Here is a 25,369-nt window from a genome sequence, read left to right as displayed (position 1 = left end):
AACTTGAAGGGAGGAGAAAGAGAGTTATTAGGGTTTTAAACTGGGCTTAAGGGTATAAATCAACTGAATAACATGAGACTGTACCTGGCACTCATCGGAGGCCATTTGTGCCAAAGACCCTTGGCTCTGCAAGCCAAAAAGTGCCGACTAACCAACTGTTTTTTTCCTATAATGGAGAAAGCCCAAGAGAAGGGAAAGAGGGAAGAGTTGTGTCCTAGAAGCTGTATCTTTAAAAAACAAAATGCTTCCATTAAAGTGTTGTAATTGAACATACTTCAGAATAGACAGTGTGAACCAAGCATGATTTGCTGCTTATAATAAACTAGGATAGATCAAACATTTGAAGTTACCTCCTAATCAGGGATTCATACTCTAGGGTAGTAAGTGAGCATTTGAAAGACCCTAATTTGGAATTCATACCCAGAGGCCATTACCATAAGTAGACTTTAAATAGGCCCATCTAGATCTGCCTTAGAGAATTTGTTAATTCTTATAAGGGATGCTAGAAATTTTTTATTGGGGAGCTGAATGACATTCTATTTATGTGCATTGAGTAGAAATATTCAATTGCATGAACAGAAGACAAGACTCTGGTAAGTCCAAAAGCCTAATACCCTTTGGAGTGGTGGGATACTTGGTTTAGAGCTTCAGTCTAGTCCAGTGTTCTGCCACTTGATAGATGCTTCTGTCACCTAATCCAAATAGAATATTAGCTTAATCTTGCCACTAGAATATGGCCACATCTACCTCAGGTAAACTTTTCATGGAAAGTGTTTGCTGACATGCTTAAAGGACAGAGAAGCAGGAGCTCACCCATTAAAAGAACAGATTACATGACTTTTTTGGCCTGTTTGTTAATAAATGTTTACATGTGTGCTGAAAGGTAGCTTGATACTTGTTGTTATTATAATATATTGTCAAGAACTGTGAATGGTCTGAGACTTAGCCCTACTTACAAGTTAACAAGGTGGTCTGCCATAGTTTCATGGATGTTGGTAGAAGACATGAGACTCTTCAGTCAGAGATGAAGGACAGTTTATCCCTCACAGCAAAAGCAGTAGCCAGAGTATTAGCATTTTTGTCCCAGTTCCTCAAGCCTCAATCCCCAAAGTGTGATGGGAAGGCCAGGTGACACCAATACATGGAGTGGATTATGTTACAGGAGATGACCCCTTCATTGAGGGAAACGGGATCTTATATATCTTATAATGGGAAGCAAACTCTGGAGAGAGACACTCTGTCTTCCAAGATTATTCACTATACAAACACTTTTGAAAAGGTAGTCCAGAACAAAGGCAGTCAATGTCTTGCTAACAAGACATGCAGAAAGTGAGGGAATCATGGAGAATTGTCTCTAGGTCCATTTTCTGTTGTTTATAACAGAATACCTTGAAATTGTGTAATTTATAAGGAATGAAATTTATTTCTTACTGTTCTGGAGGCTGGGAAGTCCAAGGTCAAGGAGGGACACCTGGTGAGAGCCTTCTTGCTGGTGGGGACTCTCTGCAGAGTCCTGAGGTGGTGCAGGTATCACATAGTGAGGGGGCTGAGCATCTTTGTTCAGGTTTCTCTTCCTCTTCTTACAAAGCCACCAGTCCCACTCCCATGATAAGCTATTTACCCATGAATCCATGAATGGATTCATCCACTCATAAAGGCAGGGCCCTCATGACCCAATCACCTCTTAAGGCCCTGCTTCTTAATATTGTCACATAGGGGATTAAATTTTAACATAAGTTTTGCAGGGGACAAATATGCAAACCATAGCCTAACATATAGGCTCTAGGAATGAGGTGTGAGGGAGGAGTCCTATTGCCTTCACCATCTAAAATCCCGGGAGACAACCATATTCACCAAAAAGAATACGAAAATTGTGGACAGCCAAATTGTTCCAGCCCCTCTGAGCGACGCCAGCTGAAATCTCTCAGCAGAAGTGGTGGGAAGTCCCTGGCTGGGAGCATTCTGTTTGGTCCCCCTGCCTAGTTGGAGAATCCCACCGCCTTCCAATGCAGCAAATGGCTGTGAGGAGACTCCAGAGTCAGTTAGCTTTCCCTCATATGAGGGAGCTTCAGGGCCAGGGGCAGGCCCTAAGCAAAGATGCCTTGGTTCTGTGGGCTAGGTCACTGGGCAAGAAGGCCAGCACTTAGGGAGCAGACTTCCAGGCTCTTTGTACTGGATTTTCTGGATTCTGTTTGGTAGACTCAGATACAAACATATAATTATGTCACTGAAAAAAGGTTTTACTGAAAAAGACAAAACGTATGAAAGGAGTCTCAGTAAACAGAGTGCACAGAGAGTGAACAGAAGTGTAAAGTGATGGGTTGGGGAGGTGGGGAAGGAGGCTTCGGGAGAAACTAACAAGCAAAACAAAACCATTTCTTGTCTAATCTTATGTCCCTAGCAAAGGTGCAAACGGAGCTATCAGTACTGCAAAAGATAGCAATCATATTGGTAAGCAGGGGTAAGCATGTTCTTGTTTTAAGCTTACTTTAGATATCTACCCCCTTAGGGACTGGTTTCTTGGAAGAAGCAAGCAGGGCATTTGCCAAAGCTATCAGTTTCTAGATATTCAATACCTGGCTTTGGTAAAGCATGAAGGGGAACATTCCATCAGGGCAAGACTGAGATTAAGACATAGAGACCTGATCGAGAAACAGATCAGCGTTTTAACACACCCAGTCAAGGGGAAATGAAAGGCTTCCCTAGCTGCCCCATTAACTGCAAATCCTCAGGCCAACCGGGGGGCAAATGACAGAAGGGAGAGGCTCCACAGAACACCATTAAGCAGCTGCAAATTGAAACATTAATCTCTGTGATTCGGCTTAAAGGAACACCAGTTCTCTAGTTGATGAAAATGCTGATAGGCTCCATGCTGGGAAAGTTCTGGTTAGAAGGGTGGCCCTCCCTTTGGGGAGCTCCAAGGACTGGCTTGGGGGATGGCAATTCCCATGGCAGCATCCAAGCATTTTATTACAATCGCAAAGGGGAATGCGTGGTACTCCTTTGGAAACACTCTCCTGGAATTTGCAAATATTTTCAGCTCCAGCAACTTAATGGCTTTTCTCAGAAGCACCAGATGAGGGAAAGGGATCCTCTTCTGCCATGATAGTGCCCATTCTTTGTGTTGAGCCCTAGAGAAGGGATTGGGAGTCTTGTCAAATGAAATGTGGGCTATCACACACTATCTGTACGCTGCTGCCCACGGAGCTTAAAGCAGATTGCCTGGGTCTTAAAGCAGATTGTCTTCTTCCCTCTCAGAGCTGGGACTGTTTGTGTGAGGGGTTGCTGGATATGGGGCTACTGTTGGGGCTCCAAGGCTTCTCACAAAGGACTCTGCCTCTTTGGAGTCGAAATAAATTAATGGGGTCCCAGGCCTGCTTCAGAACATTCTTGGTACATAGTAATATCTAACAATGACCACCCACTGTCTATGTTCCCGCATCTGCTCCGAGTGCTTTATATGTATTCATTCCTTTGAATCTGCAAAACCTCTCTGTTCGGTATTGGACACTGAGGCAGAGACTTTAAGTCACTTGGTCAAGGTGATCCAGCTTACAGAGGGTAGAACCAGCATTTGAACCAGGCAGCGAGGTGTTAGCCTGGGATATACCACTTCTCGTTGTGTGCACCCAACTGTTAGTCACTGACTGGTAGGCTGCTGTGGCTGGTGGGGCCTCTGCTCTGCAGAGATTGCCCAGCCACAGCTTACCTGACCATGCGGCTGTCTGCATGGCACCCACTTCTGCATCCTCTAGGCTGGGCTCTGCTCGCCAGTCCGGACACCCTGATTCTCTGTCCAGCTGCTTTACTGGACTATTCTTACTATTACAGCCTCCAGTGCCTGTGCTCTATCTGCAGGGCTGGACTCCTTCCGGTGGGGAGGGAGGACAAGCTGTGACCCCCTGGACACCACAGTTGTCCCTTTCTTCAACAGTTAGCTGGGCGCTGCCCCACTGTGTCCTCAGCTCAGCTACTGAACCTGCTGCTGGCTCATGAAGCATCAGAACTGCGCTGTGCTGGAGTGGAAAGAAGAAGGCTTTGGGGCCGGTGAAGTGAGATTGAATGCTATCTCTCCAATGGATCGGCTGTGTGACCTTCATAAGGTCATTCATCTTTCAATCGGGGCTTCCCTTGGAAGAAAAGATGAGCTAACCTTTATGAAAGCACTTGACACAGGGCTTAGCACACAGTAGGCTGTCAATAAATCTTAGCTCTCCCGCCCTGCCTTCTCCATGTGAAATACGGCTATTCAAAATAAAGAAGTGTTAGCCACAGGCCCTACGAATTTTATGTGTTTGCTCAGCCCCCCAGGGGAGGAACTGTGAGTGTATGTGGGGTCGATGTATGAGCGGGTAAAACTGGGCAGTGTATATACCAGGCTATTAATAATGATGTGGCTCATATGTTTGAAATTCAAGGATATGTTCATACAAGACCTAAGTATGTTTTTACAGCTCCACAAACCATTCATCCACCCCAGCATAACTTTTTTAGTGCCGGTTTTAGAATTGTGATGTTTTCTCTTTTCTCCTTAAAAAGCGATTTACATTGCAGAGCAGTTTCTGGCCTTGGCATGCTGTGGAGTTAGTGCCTGGACATTTCTTTTCTTTAACTGTTTATTAAGGATGAAGAATCTAGCTTGGAGATATCTTAAATCCTACGAATTTTGTCAAAAATTCAGCTCCAACCACTTTTTGAGCATAAAGAGAAAATAATTGGTTTTAAAATACGTACATAAGTTTAAACGTTGGGATCCCTGCCGAGACCTGGGGAGGAATTACGGGAATGTCAGAACCTGGAGAATTCCCAGAAAGGCTGGGATGAGGCGCTCCTGGGGCCCTTGAGGAAAGGCTGATCTGGGTGGGAGCATGAACCCAGCTTGGTTTAGGGTTTTCCAGGAAGTGAAGGCCTGCAGTGCTGTCTTTGGCAGCCCAGATAAAGGGAAATTTCATTCATAACTAACTTCTACCTGAATTTGAGTACGCCATGGGAGAAAATTATGGCTTTGGGTTTTCTTGCCAAAGTGATTTGAATTCCATCCAGTTCTGTTACAATGAAAACTGCCCTCCATGATTGGCTAGATGGTATATTTAACATTCTCATTACTTGCAGGATCAGGAGCTGCCAATTTGAGTCCTATCACTGTGATGTTGTAACTACTGATGCTCCATTTTCCAGATAAAAAATAGAAAAATATTTTGAAAAATGTGTAGAGCTATCTATAAACAAGAAGCTGACCTAGGACACATAGCTTTTGACCCCTTAATGGATTATTTAATTTATTTATTTCACTACTGTCCTCTCTAGCCCATTTGACTGCTGCTAATTTGGACATGGAAGCCAGTGACTTTACCACTGACAGCCAGCAGGACAGGCTTCATGGGCATGTGACCTGTGTAGTAACCCATGGCCCCATCCTTGAAAGCAGCCCATATCTGGTTTAATGCTTTGCTGCGGGTGTCTTGAAATTCTTAATACTTTTTGAAAAAAGGGGCTTGCATTTTCATTTTGCAATGGGCCCCCAAAATTGTGTAGCTAGTTCTGATGGCCAGACTTACCCCTGTTCATTTGCCTGGCTAGGTGGCGATTCCTTTCTTCCTTCCCTCCCTCTTTGGTCCATATATGTCACTTTGACGCCCTTTTGTTGATGTAGATGACTGTTTTACTTCTCACAGCCTCTATCTGCTATCTGGGAGGTTTGGCCAACTTGGGAAGGGTGAGGGCTGTGAGTGCACAATCCAGATTTGAGTGGGTGGCAGAACGCTCTGATACTCAGGAACACATTGCATCTCTACAGGGAACCTGTTGTGTGTCTTGGAGTGAAGACTAGAAGTGACTGTGTCGTCCACAGCTATGAAGACCTGTACATCCACTTAGGAAGGTGTCAGAGTTGTGGGGATGGCAGTGGTCAGGGGCATTATTTTGAAAGTAAAAGTAAATAGAACGGGATGTTGAGGTTGATGAAGCCCCAGAACTGCAGTGAGTAAAGATCCATCTTGATTAAGTTGCACATGCAGACAGGGGACATGAAGCCAGGCCTTTTTATTTGTTCATATTGGCATACCCTTACTTTTTAGTGAGGCCCTTGTTGTTCCTTCATGCCGACATGTAAGTAAAATTGCTCTGGGTCTCAAGATATAACTGTCTGTCATGGCTTCTTTAGAAAGGATTTTTGAGTAAAACGTCAGGGCCAGTTTGGATTTCACAGTGCCAGGAATCAAATTCCTGGTCAGTGTGTGAAGATTGAGGACTTTGGTCCCATAGTCACACACAAGTGCAAATGAACATGTAAGCACAACTGGATATCATAGAAATCTGGATCACAGAAAGATGGACAATCGGGACTAAGCTAGGACTGTGCACTCCAGAGGGGTGACTGGAGCTAAATCCAGTCTTCATCTGGGGGATGTGTCTGCCCGGAGGTATTGCCTCTTAAACATCCATGCTAATGGGCCAGGTGTAGTGCCTCATGCCTGTAATCCCAGCACTTTGGGAGGCTGAGGCAGGCAGATCACTGGAGGTCAGGAGTTTAAGACCGACCTGGCCAACATGGTTGAAACCCCGTCTCTACCAAAAATTACAAAAATTAGCCAGGCGTGGCTGGGCGCGGTGGCTCACGCCTGTAATCCCAGCACTTTGGGAGGTCGAGATGGGCAGATCACGAGGTCAGGATTTCGAAACCATCCTGGCTAACGCGGTGAAATCCCGTCTCTACTAAATATACAAAAAATTAGCCGGGCGTGGTAGCGGGCGCCTGTAGTCCCAGCTACTTGGGAGGCTGAGGCAGAAGAATGGCGTGAACCCGGGAGGCGGAGCTTGCAGTGAACCGAGATCGCGCCACTGCACTCCAGCCTGGGCGGCAGAGCAAGACTCCGTCTCAGTAAAATAAAATAAAATAAAATAAAATAATAAAATAAAATAAAATAAAATAAAATAAAATAATAAAATAAAATAAAATAAAATAAAATATAAAGTAAAATAAAAATAAATAAAAATTAGCCAGGCGTGGTGGTGTGCACTTGTAATCCCAGCTACTCACGAGGCTGAGGCGGGAGATTTGCTTGAACCCTAGGGGATGGAAGTTACATTGAGATGGCACCGCTGCACTCCAGCCTGGGTGGCAGAGTGAGACCCTGTTTAAAAAAAAAAAAAAAAAAAAAATTAACACAAAGGCTGACAGCCCTCAGAGAGATTCTTCATCTCGAATTCTACCATAAGAATTAATTATTTTTTTTTCTGATTTTAAAGGCAAAAATTGAACTTGGTATAAAAGCTTGAAAATAAGTGAAAAAGAACAATAAAAAGTACTCATAATCTCATAACCCAGAGATGATCATTGTCTTCTTTTTTTAAAGGATTTTGTAAAGGAGTAAGTCCTCTGGGGCATTAAGGGATGATTTTATATACAAATTTTATGTCACATTAGCCTGTAAAAATTCCCCTCTTGTGTATGTGAATAGTCTTGAGAGATAAGTGTCTTGTAAAAATGATTTTGTGTTTCTGCAAACTTGTTACTGGAGACCATGGAATTTCCTTTTTCTTTTCTTCACTGTGGTGGAAAAAGATGTTCGTTAGATTTGGTCTACTTAAAACTGAGAACTTACAAGTAAAAATCCACTCTCCTTTTTTTTTTTTAGGAGGGAAATGATTATGCAGGTGTTCAAATGAGGTTTTAACTGCATATGCAGAGACTCTTAAGCCAGTGGCCTTCCTGTGTTTGTCAAACTAAACTTTGGATTGTGATTGTGCCGAGTTTCCTGTGCTGCTCTTATTAATAGATCCTGTGGATAAGGATCTCACAGACCTATCTTTGAGTGGCCAGTGTATTCGTGTTAGGGGGGAGAAGTGATTTTCATATGGTATGTTTTTTCCTTCTTTAGTTAAAAAATCATTAAAGCCTTTTGTGTTCATATGACTTGAAAGGCAAGGGGACCTATAGTTAACTTGAGAGTTAAATTATAACTTCTACCTTCTGTGTAAAGATAAAGACTCCTTTTTTAAAAAAATCAATGACCAAGTTGGTTGGGTGAGGGGTGTTTTCTCATACCGTCTGCTCTTTCTACTTTCACCTGCTATCCCCTTCAGCCTTTAAAGAAAAACACTTGATGTGTGAATGTGGATGAAAATGACTATTTGGTTTTTGTTTTGTTTTGGAGTTCTAACATTTATTCAATTTAATTCAGCCACCATTTCTGCATGGATAGACACCTACCTGGTGAGCTGGAGGTGCGGGGAGGATGGAATCACAGGCAGAAGGCCCACAGTGCCTGACCTAGAGGGGTGTTGCCGCTCCAGCTGGGTAAATGGAATCTTATTCCAAGATATAAAGGATACAGTTGTTTACAATTTCCTTAACCGAGGAGCATTTGACAGGGATGATAATATTAGGGTAACTGACTTCACCTGCAGTTTTTTCTAAGGGCTAAAACTGAGCCAGAGGCCTCTGTTAATGGAACTGGATCTATTGTGAAATTACATCAGGTTTGTTGGGGCAGCAAACATGAGGTCCTCTTTGTCATTTTGGGGGTTTGAAGCCATACCAAGGGCCTTGGTCAGGATGGGCCCCAGGAACATCTAGGTTGATTCTTTCCCCACTCCTTTCACCTAAATTTCCTTAGAACTGTGCAGAGTGTGTATAGGCCTATGATTGACACCTCTGGGATGAGATGGGTCTCTAGTCCTAGCCCGTGGGTGCAGGTAGAGAGATCATAGTGACTAGCTGGGGCCAAATCTTCTACTGGGCTCCTTGAAACTGCCACAAAGGATAGGTCAGAAGTTCCTGACCATCGTTTTAAGTTCTGGTTGGTTTGACCCTTTTGGCTTTTTTGTCCATCTGATGAATGATCACCAAATTGTCACAGAACAGAAGCTAGACCTTCTTTGGAAGTATTATTTTGTTTTGCTTAACATGCCTTTGGAGTGATAGCTTTCCATTTCTGGCAGCAGAAGTGAAACACAGATTAGATAGCTTGTGCCCATTTAGATAATATGTTGTTTTGTTTTGGAGTTCTAACATTTATTCAATTTAATTCAGCCATCATTTCTGCACGGATAGACACCTACCTGGTGAGGTGGAGGTGTGGGGAGGATGGAATCACAGGCAAAAGGCCCACAGTGCCTGACCTAGTGGGGTGTTGCCACTCCAGCTGGGTAAATGGAATCTTATTCCAAGACATAAAGGATACAGTTGTTTACAATTTCCTTAACCGAGGAGCATTTGACAGGGATGATAATATTAGGGTAACTGACTTCACTTGCAGTTTTTTCTAAGGGCTAAAACTGAACCAGAGGCCTCTGTTAATGTAAGGTTCATAGGGAGTTGGTACCTAAGCCTTTTCATTTAGAGACCTCCATCCTTAGCCTCTGAACTTACAAGCCTTCTCTTAGCTCATAGGTCTTTCTTAATGTAATCGATGTGTTTCAGAAATGCTGCCTGAGATAATTTATTTTTGTACAAAGCAATTATATTTTTATAGGCAACAGAGATGCTTTTTCTTTAAAAGAATCAAGTTGTGCACTATTTTCTAAAAAGAGCTGTGAATCTCCATTTTATCCTCTACATCAAGTCTTTTAAAGTAGGAAATATATATTCATTAACAAGTAGGCTAACAATTATGCATTAAAAATGATAACAACGTATCTGATAATTATGTGTCTTTTGAAAAACAAACCTGAAGACTTCTTCTGAATGGCACATTCTCATCTTGGAAGAGGATATTCTTTGAATAGTGTTTTGTTGTCGTTGCCCTCTGCTCTTCTGACAGACGGTTTTGCCGTGATTGGTGGTATTTTCCTATCATGTTCCATTTTCAAATGTTAATCATTAGTCATTCTTCATGACCTCTCCATGCAGCCGCCAGAATATAATTATTAAGGGCTGCCTACTTGCACAATGATGGGGAGGGGATCTGAGGGTTACAAATGGCCCAGGGTCATGTCCCAGGTCAAAAAAAGATGAAACGTTAGTCTAGTGATCAGCCCCTGGGTCCTGGGAAAGATAGACCTCTAAGAGCAGTGGAAACTGAGAAGGAAGAGTGTCTGCATGCACTCAGGGCTCTCAGAGCCCCCTTTGATTTGTTGCCCATTCCACACTAAACTCTGTTTAGTAATAAACAGAGTTCAATGGCCAGAGTCTAGACAAACAAATCACGGCCTGGAAAACCCTGTGTTTTGATGACATGTTATGTCTTTACAGCGTGTGGAGGATGGAGCCAGCTTTGAAATTCTAATGCATGGTCTTTGTGAGCTTGCAGCAAATCAGAGAGGCTGAGTCAGGGAGACAGACAATCAGGCCCTGCTCTGGCCAAATTAGAAGGCATTCCCCACTTTGTGGCTTGTGATTTTCCTGCTCTGTCTTCCTCCAGGCATTAGGAAGCTGTCGTGAACTTTAGTGAAATGTGAGAGGTTTAAATATTAATATTTCTGAAGCCCTCAGGGTAGACTCAACACCTGCTTCCCCTGCACAGCTGCCCTAAACAGTTTTCACTGGAGAGACTATTTTTCTCTTTAAACAAAATATTTTATCAAAGTTGGTTTTTAATTGAGCCAGGGCGCCTTCATGTTCACTGGCTAGATTTATCTCTGCCATTTGGAGGGGAAGAGAAATCTCAGAGCTTCCTCATTTACTTGCTCTTTCCTCCCTCGCTCCATCAATGGAAGTAGAGCATCAAACAGGGATACCTTGGCAAGCTCAGTGTTAGCAGCACAAAAGACAAACACTAAAATCTCATTTCTGTTGGGACAGAAACAGAAAAAAATGCTAAGGAAGGGCTGAGCCTGCTGAGTTCCCTGTAAAATAATCCCTGGAGTGAAAACAGCAGCTTGTTCTTCTTCTTTTTTTTTTTTTTTTTCGAACATGTGCCTCTTATACAGTCCAGGATGATCAACTGTGTATACAATAAAGAATGCTTAGAAAATGTGACTGGTAGTATTTTTCTGTTAATGTATTTGAGCTATTTTCATTTTAAAATAATTCATTTCCAGCATGTATGGAGGGAGGTTCTTTTACAATTATTCAAATACATTTTTCCTTGCAGGCATTGAATTGTTTACTCAATGTTAATGGTTCCTTACAAATATTTACTGAATCTCTCTGTAAACTCTCGTCTAAATTAGACCAGAAGGTTCAAAACTCTAACTCCCTTTTGCTATCCAGCCTTTTAAGGTAATCTTTCTGCTGGTATCTGTACAATTAACTGAGAGCATTTTAATAACAGGGAATAATAATTGCTGTTTGCTTATCATCAAGAGGAATTTCCCCCTTGTGAATTTACTTTTAGGAAGACTAGATTGTTATGTAGCACGCGGTGATGCTGATAAGGACTTTAATTACTGTGTGAGAGATTTTGGTGGACGGGGAACAGGAATTTGCAGTGTTTTTGCTCATATTTTATGGAGAATTGAGAATCCTAAATTTCTGTAATTGCTGAAAATGTGGGAACTGCTAGAGTAAAAGGTGTTTATATAGATAGCCATAAATCTACAAAATTGTTTATGTGTGCAACAAAGTGTGCAGATATGAACAAAGGATCAGGTGATAAAAACCCAAAGCTTATGTTTTTTGCTACTCTTTTCAGAGAAAAGACTTTGTCATGGACATAAATTAATTCCTCTATAGATTTTTCTTTTGTAATAGTGTATTTTAATAGAATGTCATTTCCTTATATATTTTTGTTAAGAAACAAAACATAGCCAGGTCTATATATTAATTTAAATTTTAATTGCAACATGAAAGAACAATACCTGATTCTACTCTAACATTTACACCAGAGGTGACAATGTTCGTGTTTTCAATAACTTAATGCCTTTGTTAATTAAGTTTCAGGGATCAAGAACTGTATTAAATAAGCTCAATTAATATATATGCATAAATGTGTGATGAAATAGAAACATATTAAAACTATTTCTACATTACTGCATATATTCGTCAGTTTAAACTCTGAAATTCAAGGGATTCTTTGTCATCTTTTATGTGGGAAAGTAGATGCAAGTCATGTAGCTGCAGAATGTCAAAGGTAGGAGGTTTAAGAGTTCACTAGCCTGATCATATTAATTCATTCATTTCTACATTTATTCAACAAATGAAGGCCCACTATGTGCTCAGTTCTGGCATCACCATGGTGAGCAAAGTAGACCAGTTCCCTCTCTCCAGAGATGGATGTTGGGAAAAAGTGACATGATCAGATCTGCATTTTGAAAAGCTCAGCCTCATTTTCTTTGAAGTTTTATAGATAATTATATAATTCAGGTAAACTACTGGAATAGAACCTTTTAATTCTAGGAAAATTTAAAGAGTGACATGTATTCAGTGATGAACTATAAGTTTCTGAGAAGCTTTCTAATATTACAGTGGTTTGTATTATTGTTGTGTTGCTGAAGTTAGAAAAGAATGATACTATAGATAATTCCCCCTGACCCACATTCTTTTTCTAGACCTATTTATTATTACATATAAATTCCATACATTTATTGAACATATAAATTCCAAAATTTTTGATGGCTTAATTAATAGTTAAATAATGCATCAGAATTCACAAACAGTTGAACTTAATCTTTACCGTGGCACTCCATTCTCCTTGGTAGCTGAAAATGTAATCTTCCAAACTCAAGGGAAACAGTCCACGTAGTGATGACCCAGTCATTTCCTGCCTAGATTTAGTCATTTGCAGGGTTCTGCTCTCCTCCCTTTCTTAGGGGTGGCATCTAAGTTCACAGATGGGGAGGGGTTGGTGGCACTTGCGGAATGGGTTTGGGGAATCCTCTGGTTCTCTGGCCCAGGGTTGGCACTCTGCAAGGTGTTTTCGGCCCTCTGGTCTTTAAAGGCTATTGGCCTCAATCCCTCTGGATTGTGCTACTAGGTCCACATGGTCTGTCTTAGTCTGTTGGGGCTACTGTAAGTAAGCACCCAAAGTGGATGGTTTATAAACAACAGAAATTTATTTCTTAAAGTTCTGGAAGCTGGGAAGTCTAAGACCAAAGTGCTAGCAAATTTGATATCTGTGGAGGGCCCTCTTCCTGGTTCATAGATGGTGACTTCCTGCTGGCTGTGTCCTTACATGGCAGAAGGAAGAGGGGGTCTCTCTTGGGTCTTTTTTTTTTTTTTTTGAGACAAAGTCTCGCTGTTGTCACCCAGGCTGGAGTGCAGTGGTGCAATGTTGACTCACTGCAACCTTCGCCTCCTGGGTTCAAGCAATTCTCCTGCCTCAGCCTCCCGAGTAGCTGGGATTACAGGCGCCTGCCACCACACCCGGCTAATTTTGGTATTTTTAGCAGAGACGGCATTTCACCATGTTGGCCAGGCCAGTTTTGAACTCCTGACCTGAGGTGATGTGCCTGCTTTGGCCTCCCAAAGTGCTGGGATTACAGGTGTGAGCCACTGAGCCTGGCCTTGGGTCTTTTTTTTTTTTTAAGGGACTTAATCCCTGTCATGAGAGTTATATTCTCATGACTTAATCACCTCTCAGAGGCCCTACCTTCTAATTCCATCACCTTGGGGTTAGGATTTCAACCTAGAAATTTTGAGGCAATACAAGCATTCAGATCACAGCATCACCTCCACTTACCAGACCCCCACATTCTGCATTCATCTTGTTCCAGTCAGGAGACCCCTTCACATCTGTGGCCCTTTCTCTGGCTTTCTATAATCTGGTTGTGGGGGAAGGACTCTCCACAGACACATGACTGGCTGTCTGTGCTTCTTCCCGCTGGATCCTGGGGAATAAATTTGCTGCACAGGCCATGCTGCTCTGGGAACCTGGGATCTCCTCACTGAAGTTACCTGAGGCAGGGCATGGGGGTGGGGCATGGGGAATAGAGCAGGTAACTCTACTGCTGTCCTGCTTCATTCTCAACACTCTACTCCCACTCAGAAAGATTTGTAATCTCCCCTCTCCCCAGTGGAGAGAAAATGGTTTTCTAAACCATTATTCATGGATAACCTTTATATACTGATTCCTTCAGGGCTTTGGCTCTTGATATTCAGATCCAAGCATTTAGACCTCAGAAAGCCTTTTACTGTTAAAAAGCCTGGTTTTGCAAATCAGAGGGTTTTGGTTTTCAAGATTATTGTCTTTACTATGAGTTTAAAAAATTGTTATTTTGAAATGTGGTTGCTTTATTTGTTCTCATGTCTTTTGCCCTCTTCCTGGCCATAAACTGCAGCCTCAAAGTACAGTTTTAATGGAGGAAAAATAGGAGGCAGGGGTTGTAGGGAAGGCTGTAAGAGAAGGAAAGTGAATGGGTCAGTGATTAGAAAAATTTACAGGCCAGGCGCAGTGGCTCACACCTGTAACCTCAGCAATTTGGGAGGCTAAGGTGGGAGGATCACTTAAGCCCAGCAGTTTGAGAACAGCCTGGGCATCAAAGGGAGGCCCCATCTCTACAAAAATTTTTTTTAATTTGCTGGGCATGGCTGCAGTGAGCTATGATCACACCACTGCCGTCCAGTCTGGGCAACAGAGCAAGACACTATCTCAAACCAAACCAAACCAAACCAAATGAAAAAAACCCTCAAAACCCATCAGTAGTGTTTCCCATGACCAACTCTGCTGTAATTAGAGGGGGAGCTATACTAGAACTTCTTTATTTTGTATTTATTCAGGGCTTGCCCCACTCTTCAGAACCACTGTGATGTGCCAGTTTGCTTTTGTTTACAACTTTCTTAGCAAGGTCTTTATTGAGGCCAGTTCTATATCTGACCAAAATTTATAACCTAATTTACCCTGAAAACTATTCTTGCTTCTGCTTTCTATGCCTCCACAGTGGTTTTAAAATTTGCCAAGAGTGAAATCTCACCCTAAAGCCTTTTTCTTGAAAGTGATTCCTAACCCTGAGGAGTGGATGATTTACATCACTCTTCAAAAATCATTACACATAATGTAGGATGACATGAGATGTGAACTGCCAGCCATGAAGAGGAGAACACAATGCCAGGATTTGTAAAAATGAGACTTTCTTGATTCAAACAAAATAACCATTACCAGATTACCACTGGGGGTCAAATAATCTGTTATCCCTACTACATTTCAAGCCATTGGACACTCCACTCAGCTCTCTAATAACTTGACTCTAAAGAAAAACCAAATAGCAACCCTGTCTTGAGCATGCCTGGCTCAGATTGGGTGTTGAGAAGTATCTGTTGACTGTCTGATGGCTTCTCACAGAACGAGCAGAGCTCCCGGAGCTGTGAGCATTCATTGGGCATCATCCAACCACCTCGTTTTTCAGGGAAGAACCCAGGAGGCACCTTGACATAGGAAACAGGACATGGGATCTTCTTCTGTGGGACTAGTGTTAGCCAAACCTTGGCACCTAGATAATTTTTTGGTGACTATAGGAGAGAAAGCCCTGCTCTCCTCATTCTGTGGGACAAAGTTTTTCTGGTGTCCCCAAGGATACAGAGCCCTTCCCCATTACAGAGCCCTATACAGAGCCTGTCCCCTACCCAGAGCCCTATACAGAGCCCTTCCCCATTTAGAAGAAGCATGGAGACTGAATGACAAGTTACAAAACCAGCTACAGCCCAGGCTTGTGGCACTTGCTGCCTCTTTCATTGAGAAACAATGTGGTCTAAAAGAGTAACCCTGAGTTCAAATGTTATCTCTGCTCTTTCTATAGCGTGTTTTAAATAATAATAATTTCTAAAAATATTTTCCAAATATGTAAAGTTATATGATCATATTGAATATGTTTCTTCAAACTATATGCTCCTCCTCATACATTTGTGAGTTGCCCATCCCATGAGGAATCACTGAATTAGAGTTTTTTAATGGACCCCCATGCTTATCTGGAGTGGGAGCACATACTGTGGAATAACATAATCAATCTGAATGTCATTAGCATTCATTATCTTTAAACGCATGTAGGAGACAGCTATATGCTTAGGGCACTGTCTAGATGGACCCACAGCCTTTGATTTCTGGCACCTTGCAAGTCAAGATGGTTCTGCAGTAGACAGGCATGAAGGAACTGGTATATTGGCAAGATCACATTGCAGTTGAGACATTTTCATTGTACACAAGCATAGGGAAGGAATACTTGGGATTGTATGGAACATACTGAGTAATGCAGAGAATGAGAATTGGGTGTGGAGATGGGTAGAGGTTAGTTAGTCTGGAAATTCTCAAAGGTGGTGATTGGATTTGGGAGCTGCTCCAGAGAAGGGAAGGACACAAAGAGGGCTGGTCCAGCTAATCAGGGATAAATCCAGGTTGGGATGGAATAATCAGATAAGTCATGATCATTGGATCATGACTAATTTCAAAGGTTAGAAGAGCCCTGGAGATCTTCTGATCCTACCAATGAATGAAATATTTTACACATTTTGTTCTGGTTCTAGGCTACAGGGAGAAATAAGATAATTTCTGCTCTCTAGATGCCATCAATCCAGCATTTGTGTGTCAGAGTAAGTACAGTACAGAGTGTGGTGTGTTCAGAGGAGATGCAGAGCTAGATGGAGGGGCAGGCACTTGGGGAAGCTTTACAGAGAAAGAAACATTTACAGATGAGGAAACTGAGGCCCAGAGAGGCAAAATAAATTGTCCAAAAACACACAACAGAGAATTAACAGCTGAGATCACAACCCAAAACCTCCATCCTTCCATAGGATGGATGATAGGAAGCTATCATCCTTTCAGGAGATATTGCTGGTTGCTGTGGGTCTGTCTGAGGAAGGAAAAAAATCACAAGGGAGCAGGGAGCCATGAAACACACAGGGAGTGGCTCTGGGGTTTCCTGACAACAAACCTTGAGCTTGGGGCTTGGCTTAGGACACAGAAGACCTGCATTCTTAGGATCTCTTAGATGAAGCTGAGAATGAAGCCCACACTGGAGAAAGTTGAGAGATGAAATCCTGGTGACTTCATTTGACCTTTGAATCCAGCTATGTCTGAAGCCAGTTCATGGTCTGAAGCCAGTTCTACCCATGTGTGATAAGGAATCTTACAAACTTGATGGCCTCATCCTGGGAGACATTTTTGTATAATGATGATGGACTGGACTAATTATTAATGATTGGATGGAATTATAGGAATGTGCCAGCCAGCATCTTTTGTAGTGGTGTATTGTTTTGACTTAAGAGATCTCTGTTAAAAAACCAGAGGGTAGACTATGACATTCTGAAATATATGTCTGGTCTTTGTTCAATTTCCTGACACATAGACCTTAAAATCCTTGGAATCTCCAGAATAATAGGAGTATTTTTTACATAGAGTATCTTTTGCTCTCTTATTAGAGAGCTGGTGGCTGGGAGCCGCTAGATGGCTGGTCACAGGAAAGACCAAGGCGTGGTTACAACATTGGGACTTTCAGCTCCATCCCCAACCTCCATGAAACGGAAACGGGTGGAAGGTTAAGTTGATCATCAATGGCCAATGATTTAATCAATGATGCCAGTGTAATGAAACTTCCATAAAAACCCAAAAGAACTGGGTTTGGAGAGCTTCTTGACAGTTGCATCTGTGGAGGTTCTTGGAGGATGGTGCTCTTGGAGAGGGAAAAGAAGCTCCACATCTCTTCCCCGTACCTCGCCTTATGTGTCTCTTCCATCTGGCTATTCATCTGTATCTTTTGCAATATCCTTTATCATAAAATGATAAATGTAAGTAAGTGTATCCCTGAGTTCTAAGACCTGCTGTAGCAAATTAATCAAACTCAAGAAGGGAGCCATGAAAACCCCCGATTTATAGGTGGTTGCTCAGAAGCTCAGGTAAAACAACCCAGGGCTTTTGATTGGCATCTGAAGTCGGGGGCAGTCTTGTGGGACTGAGCCCTCAACCTGGGGGATCTGACACCATCTCCAGGTAGACAGTGTCAGAATTGAGTTAAATTAGGGGATACCCAGCTGGGATCAGCTGGAGAATTGCTTGGAGGGGAGAAGTCCCCACACATTTTGGAGACCAGAGGCTACACAAGCATTCTGTGATGTGAGGGTAAAGTAAGAGAGCCTGAGTTTCTTTGTTCTTCTATCATCAGACCATGGGATTTGGCTCCATTCAGTCTGAGTTATGACATACTGCCCCAGAATCTTGATTAGTGCAATTGAGCAGATGTGGCTGCCTTGACAGTGTTGCTCTTCCTGGCCTTTTTCGTGGGCTGGCTGAAAGGACACTGCGGGAAGTTAATAGTCTCCCTGTGGAGACTGTAGATGTAAAGATGGGGAAAGGACATTCTCAAGATGCTGAAGAGGATAAGAGCAACAACAATTGTTTCAATGTGGTTTTTGAAGATTCTCTGGACCAGGGGTAGCCTCAAGGCAGTCTTCTGGCAAAGTGTACTTCAGGAAAATTTGAAAAAAAAAGTATGTCACCAAAGCAGTGGAAAATACCCACCCTGTGGTTTTAGGATTTGCTGTTCAAATTGTATGAGAGCTAAAAATTCAGAGAGGGAATTAGCTAGGAGTCAGGCTGCCCATACATGTTATTCATGTAATTAGATGATGAGAAGAGAATTCTAAAAGCTTCCAATTCAATTTCTTTCATTTAGGGTATTCTTATTTAATTATCTGTGATCCTAAGGGAGCAGCCTGAGAAAGTGTTGAAAATATGGGGAACAAAGAGAGACAAGAAAATCTGAAAGTGATTGTAGTTAATCTAATGTATGTACTTTAGGATTTTGGTCAGAGAGATTCACAGCCCATTGGGTCCCTTCACATTTCCTTGATACACTAATAGAATCTGATTTCCTAGTGTCAGAATGAGAAATTCTGCATAACATCAGAAACACATATATTTAGAGAAGCTGGAAAGTGACCAAGTGTAAGCTGACTGCCCATCTGGCAGCTGGAAAGATGAACTAATATGACTCTTGAGCCCCAAGTTTGGTATGAAATAGCAGGAAGAGCTGGACTAGAGAACATTATTGTAGAGAGTGCTCTCACTGGATGTCATGGGAGGAAATCATTGGCTCTGCTGATTCTTTCTGAACAACCCAAGAGGCTTTGTCTGGTGTATCAGATGCTTTTAATTGATTTCAGTAGTTTTATCTCATTTTCTGGGTGATCTAACTGCAGAGTGTGAGTGAGCAGAACAGGATGCCATTGCTGAGAAAAGCATTATTCATGTCATTGGAGGAGATTTTTAGACAAAGGAACACCTAGAAGTATGCTCTTGATACCGTTATCCTGATGGGTTGGTGAGGGAAGTCACCAAGTCTCTGAGTCAGAGGACTTCTCTCCTTTAGCCTGAGAAAACTCGACTTCCAGGGTTGCCAGTCTGCTAACGATATGGGAGAAGAGTCCGTAATTCCCACACCAGTGAGTGCCCTCCTTGAATCTGAGTGGAGAATTTCATTATATTGACTCATTTTTGAGCAAGAGACGCCCAAATATGTAACGTAGCACTATCCTTCTCTTATATTAGGTTGAGCTATATGAAAGTGAAGATAGTCAACCTTCTTTTTCTAACTTCAGAAATGACAATTTCATATAGTTCAATCTAATATGTTAGCAAAACTCAGTAGTGGTGTGAAATATAGGGGTGCTTTATTCTTCATGAGACCATTACGGCCTGTTATTTTCACTTCCTATTGAGCTCTCTGAAATAAGCCAAATTGAAACTCCCTCTTGATTTCACACAGATGGGGCACCAGCTCTGCCCATTCATGCAGCACCATTAGTCTTCAGTGCCTGCCACGGCCCAGGTCTGCCCGACTGGATTTTCTGCTTCTCTGTTTGGGTAGCCAATGTCAGGTTCATGGATTATGCTTTTGCTGCATGTCTGCTATTACTAACACAGAGAGCTGTCCAGTGATTCCCCACTTGTTTTTAAAGAGATCACCTTGCTTTCCTTTATCTCTTGTTTTGGCAGGGGGTGGGAGGAAGGTTCTTTTTTTTTTTTTTTTTTTTTACAAAGCTTTTGCTCAAATTTTGTCTCAGCATCATCAAAAAATTACATGTCAAATACTCATGTAGCTGAATTTTTTTTTCTTTCAAACAGACATTTTCTGGCTTTGCTGACGCATATCTTGGCTATTGTATCACGGCAACACAGCAACTCATATTATTTATTACTTATCCTGTAGCATATTAACTTTGTTCCCATATCTATGCCTCTAGGATAAACTTTAGGCAAAGTTTTTTCTCCATTAAAAAAATTTACATTTACATTTACATTAAACTTTATCTGTAACAGAGGAGGCGTTACAAATCAACATAGACAATTATCTAACCATATTGCTCCCCACCCAAAAAGAGTATACCTTTCACCAGTATAAAAATAAGGTTCAAGTGGATTGGAGAGCTAAATATGAAAATCACAACTTAGAAACTTTTAGAGAAAAAAGAGGGAAGATTAACATTTGAAGACATTGGAACAGAAAGGAATTTCTTAAATGAAACATAAGGAACATATAACAAAGAAGATTTATACACCTGACTACATAAAAATTAGTAAACTTCTGCATGACAAAGCACTGTAAATAGAACTTAAAATAAAACTCAGACTGGGAAATTTTTCCATTTCTAAAATTCAACAAACAATAGGTATCAAAAATATATGAGTGATTTCACACCAACAATTTTAAAAATGGGAAAAAGTATAAAGGGGCAGTTCCATAGAGAGGAAGGGCAAATGGTGAACAACAACTGCAAAGACGCTCAACCTCATGAACGACCAAGGAAATGCAAATGAACACACCAGTAAGACACCATTTCGTATCCACCAGACAGACAAACTTCAAAAGGCCTGCTAACACCAAGTGTTTGTCAAGGATCTAGGTAAATAGAAACTCATATTCATTGTTGGTAGAAGGCAGATTTTGCACTATTCCTTTGTAGAGCAAATTGGCGATACCCAGTAAATCCTCTATGACTTAGTTATTTCACTTCTAAGTATGGTTATGCATTGCTTAATGATGGGGATACATTCTGAGAAATGTGTGGTTAGGTTGTGTGAACATCATAGAGTGTATTCACACAAACCTAGACAGTATAGCCTCCTGCACACCTAGGCTATATGGTATAGCCTATTGCTCCTAGGCTACAAACCTGGATAGCATGTTGCTGTACTGAATACTGTAGGCAATTGTTACACAATGGTAAGTATTTGTTTACCTAGACATATCTAAACATAGAAAAGGTACAGTGTTACAGTAGAAATATAGTATTATTTTATAGGCCTAACATCCTATATGTGGTTTGTTGTTGACCAAAATGTCATTATGTAGCGCATGACTGTATTTACTCTGAGGGTCTATGACAAAAGCTAAAGGAGCACTGTTTGTTCCAGCAAAACAGTGGAACTGACCCAACTCTGGTGACTAGAGCAGGGGCTGGGCAAATTAAGCCTCCTGGGCTCAAATCCAGCCAAATCCCTCTTTGCACAGTTTGTGAATAGTTTTTATATTTTTATTGATTGATTGATTGAGACAGAGCTTTGCTGTGTCACCCAGGCTGGAGTGCAGTGGCACGATCTTGGCTCACTGCAACCTCCACCTCCTGTGTTCAAATGATTATCTTGCCTCAGCCTCCTGAGTAGCTGGGATTACAGGTGTGTGCCACCACGTCCAGCTAATTTTTGTATTTTTAATAGAGACGGGGATTCACCATGTTGGCCAGGCTGGTCTCGAACTCCTGACCTCAGGTGATCCGCCTACCTCAGCCTCCCAAAGTGCTGGGATTATAGGTGTGAGCAACTGCACCTGGCCAGTTTTTACATTTTTAATGCTTAAAAATATCAGAGACAAATATTGTTTTATATTATGTAAAAATTTTACAAAATACAAATTTTAGTATCCACAGTAACGTTTTATTGGAACACAACCACACACATTCATATAAGTATTGTACTGTGAGGGCCTTGAGGTGCTTCTGATGTATGCTAGAGTTTGAGGACCAATGGGATAGAGAAATGGATAGACTGTGGTATAGTCATAAGAATAGTATGCAGTAGTTAAATGTATTAGATCTAAATGTATTAACATGACTAAATCTTGAAGTAAAAAAATTGCAAAAGGACATGTATAGTGATACTACTTTGTACTTTAAAAATAATCATGTGGTTCAAAGATACATATATAAGTAGCAAAAGTTATAAAACCTGCCCATGAATGATACATCTTAATTACAGAATAATGGTTACCTCTAAAACCAGAGGGAGGGGGAAGAATGAAGGAGGGGTTAGATTTTAGCTGTATTTGTGTTTTATTCCTTAAAGGGACTCAAATTAAATATGACAAAACATTAATATCTGTTAAATATGAGTAGTGGATATGTGTGAAATTTGTTAGAGGCTTGAAAAATTCATGATTAAAGATAAGAAAAATTTAAGCCACACCTTCTCATTGAAAAAATTAGGAATATAAAGAATAATATCAAATACTTAAATATTAAAAGTGATCAATAATCCTACCACCTGAAGGTAATTACTAATAATATTTTGGTATTTTCCCTTCTAGTCTTTTTTTTAACCTATGCATAGTAAAATAATTTTCATCATATATTTATAATTTTGTATCTTTTCTTTTTATTTAATATTGGCTCTTAAGAATTTTCCATGTAATTATTCTAATTTTTATAATAACCACATATACTTCATATTTGTATAGCACTTTTTTCTGAATTTAAGCATAAATACACACTTGCATAAAAATTTGGAGAATAAAGTACATAGAAAAGTGAAATTATCTGTCATTGCAGCACTTTGATGTGATAGTGTTTTATGTATATTTCTCCGGTCTTGATTGTTGTTTTGTATCCTTAATTTTTTAATTTAATATATCATGAAATTTCCTCCATGATAATTGTTCTAAAACCTGACTTTATTTTTTAAAAATTTATTTATTTATTTATTTTTTTGAGACAGAGTCTCTTGCTCTGTCGCCCAGTCTGTAGTGCAGTAGTGTGATCTTGGTCCACTACAACCTCCGCCTCCCCGGTTCAAGCAATTCTCAGGAGGCCTCAGCTTCCCAAGTAGCTGAGACTACAGGTGCCCACCACCATGCCCAGCTAATTTTTTGTATTTTAGTAGAGACGGGGTTTCACCATGTTGCTCAGGGTGGTCTTGAACTCCTGAGCTCAGGCAATCTGCCCTCCTTGGTCTCCCAAAGTGCTAGGATTACAGGTGTGAGCCACCGTACCCAGCCTAAAACATGACTTGGAATGGCTCCATATAATTCTATTATATATGGATTAAGATATGCACACATTTAATGAATTTTCATCTGTTACTCTTCATGTTCACTCTGTCCACATCTGTAAACATGAGAGAGAAAACCAAATAATCTATTGGCAACATCTGTGGGACCAGAGAGGGAACAGCCAGGCTTGGAGAACATTGAAGGAAAGACCCCTGTGCTCTGGGGAAGGGGTGGGAGGGGTGTTACCCTTGATTCTCACCTAAAAAGGGCTCTATGTGAGTTGAAGGTGAATGCTTATCTTCCACCCTTACCTTCTTCTGGCCTTAGGTATGTTCCTTGCTGACTTGCAGGGTAAACTTTTTGGGGCAACATACTGTATGGTTCTCACCTTCCATATTAAGGAGACAAGTGATAACTGTTGGGTGGTATAGGAGAGAAAGAGTTTCTGGAATCCTTCAGAAATGAAGACCCAGAGAAACTGAGAAATCTGTGTATTTTTATGTACAGTCATACAGAAGTATGAATGAAGGACAAATGGGTTTGATCTAATGGCAGTAAATGGAGAGGAACTTAGCAAGGCCTGTTTCTTCAGATTCTTCTCTGCATCCCTATGTCTTTGTTCCTTTCCTCTGGGTATAGGGAGAACTTGTCTATAATGAGGGTCTTATGATCTACTTTAGGGGAAAGTCAGAGAATTCTTTTATGGCCAGCTGCAAGGGAGAATGGCTGAAGAAAGTCAGAGAGAACATGCTTCTGCTGTTTTCTCAAATCCAAGGTGCCATATTTTGGGGTTAGTGTGTTTTAAACCCCACCATTCCCTGAAACTTCCCCAAAAAGTTTTACAGTCCAGAAACTGGGTATTGGATTGTCCTACAAGTTACTGAACTTGTCTTTTATTCCTGGGGATAGGCCAGTTCAGCTAGACAGTTAATAGTTGTGTTTCATGTCAGGAGTTAGTGTGGCAGGTCGGCTTCCATTAGACTTAGACGTCTATATGGTCTGATCAATCAGGTATTTAAATGAGTCATTTCTATGAAAACAAAGAAAAACAAAAGCTAATGGTTAGAGCAAACTATAAACTCAGTTTTTGAATCCAGATGACAGATAGTCGAGAAGATTTCTAAATTTGAGCTTGAAGCATCTTCAGATGGAGTGAAGACAGGCAGGGACACTGACAGATTTTTCTGGTTTGCAGTTTGAATGTCATGAAGGTTGTCCATACATAAGCTATTGTGGTGACTTCTCTGAAGTCTATATCAAGTCATCTAGCTTCAGCTCACAGGGCTTCAGGAAAGGGGCAATTTTAATTTCAGTGACTACACGTCAGAAGGATTGGGAAATATTAGTCTGGAGAGTTGCAGCCAGATATTGGAGGAAACTATAAGAATTTAGAATCCAATCCAGTTTGCAGGTAAATAACAAAACCTCAAAAATTATGAACAAGGCTAGAATCTAATAACAAGCACACTATAAATTTTTTCTGAAACATAATTTATTTCTCTGTAGTCATCCCCAGTTTTACCAAAAATAACCAAAGTAGACAAATTCACTTCCAAATTAAGTTTAGTCTCATTAAACTTGGCCAGTTTATTTACTAAGTGTAGCAAGAGTAGTGATTGACCATGTAGGCTCTGTTAAAGTTTGCTTTGCTGGAACTTTTCATAAGGAATCTCAGACTAGATTTTTAAAAGTATTTTGAGGTTAAGAACCTCATCCAAGGACTTGGCCATCAGACTTTTGCAATACCTATAGTTTTGTTGAATTCCTCTCTTCTCAAAGTCCTCAAAATCTTCTGATGTTCCTGGGCCTGCCAGGAAGTGACATCCCTTACTCGCCTGTAACTATGTAAGGGACCCATTTATAAGAATCATGTATGCAGGGTATCAGGTCAGTTTTTTAACCCCTAAGAGGCTTTATTGGCACCATAAAGTCAACCTTAGTTCCTTAAGTTGTCTGGTCACATCTGAAAACATGACATTCCAGTCAATGCCTTCATAATATAACCAGTGTTTCCAACTGTATCTTGTACAAGGAGAATAGATTTTTATTAAACTTACATAAATATGTTATTTATATAATATAGTTATTTATATAAATGTTATTTATATAAAAATATAATCCCTGGTATCTTATAATCCCCTTTAACAATTTTCCAATGTTAACATCTCTGGGTTGTGACTTACAGTCAAAGACTTTCTAGGGTCAATAAAAATCAAAGACTTTCTAGGGTCTTGGCTGAGCTGGTATCTTAAAGCTGTAGTTTTCAACCCTGGCTAATGTTTTCAATGTTAGAATCCTC

General features: G+C 41.0%; 1 long non-coding RNA gene across 3 annotated transcripts in view, besides 2 other annotated features; it reads left to right on the top strand.

Moving 5' to 3' along the window:
* The window catches only part of LINC01331 (long intergenic non-protein coding RNA 1331), a 209,330-nt gene that overhangs the window by 26,224 nt on the left and 157,737 nt on the right, over positions 1-25,369 (top strand). The gene's annotated exons all lie outside the window — the stretch shown is intronic.
* Positions 19,138-19,187: an enhancer, noted in NCBI's record as "active region_22667". NCBI's record gives its function as "activates an Ori minimal core promoter by ATAC-STARR-seq in GM12878 lymphoblastoid cells {active_cell/tissue: GM12878}" and the evidence as "EXISTENCE:reporter gene assay evidence [ECO:0000049][PMID:35858748]".
* Positions 19,778-19,837: an enhancer, noted in NCBI's record as "active region_22666". NCBI's record gives its function as "activates an Ori minimal core promoter by ATAC-STARR-seq in GM12878 lymphoblastoid cells {active_cell/tissue: GM12878}" and the evidence as "EXISTENCE:reporter gene assay evidence [ECO:0000049][PMID:35858748]".

This window comes from Homo sapiens, chromosome 5 (assembly GCF_000001405.40).
Source record: "Homo sapiens chromosome 5, GRCh38.p14 Primary Assembly".
Lineage (NCBI taxonomy): Eukaryota > Metazoa > Chordata > Mammalia > Primates > Hominidae > Homo > Homo sapiens.
This window is presented reverse-complemented; position numbering and strand designations above follow the sequence as displayed.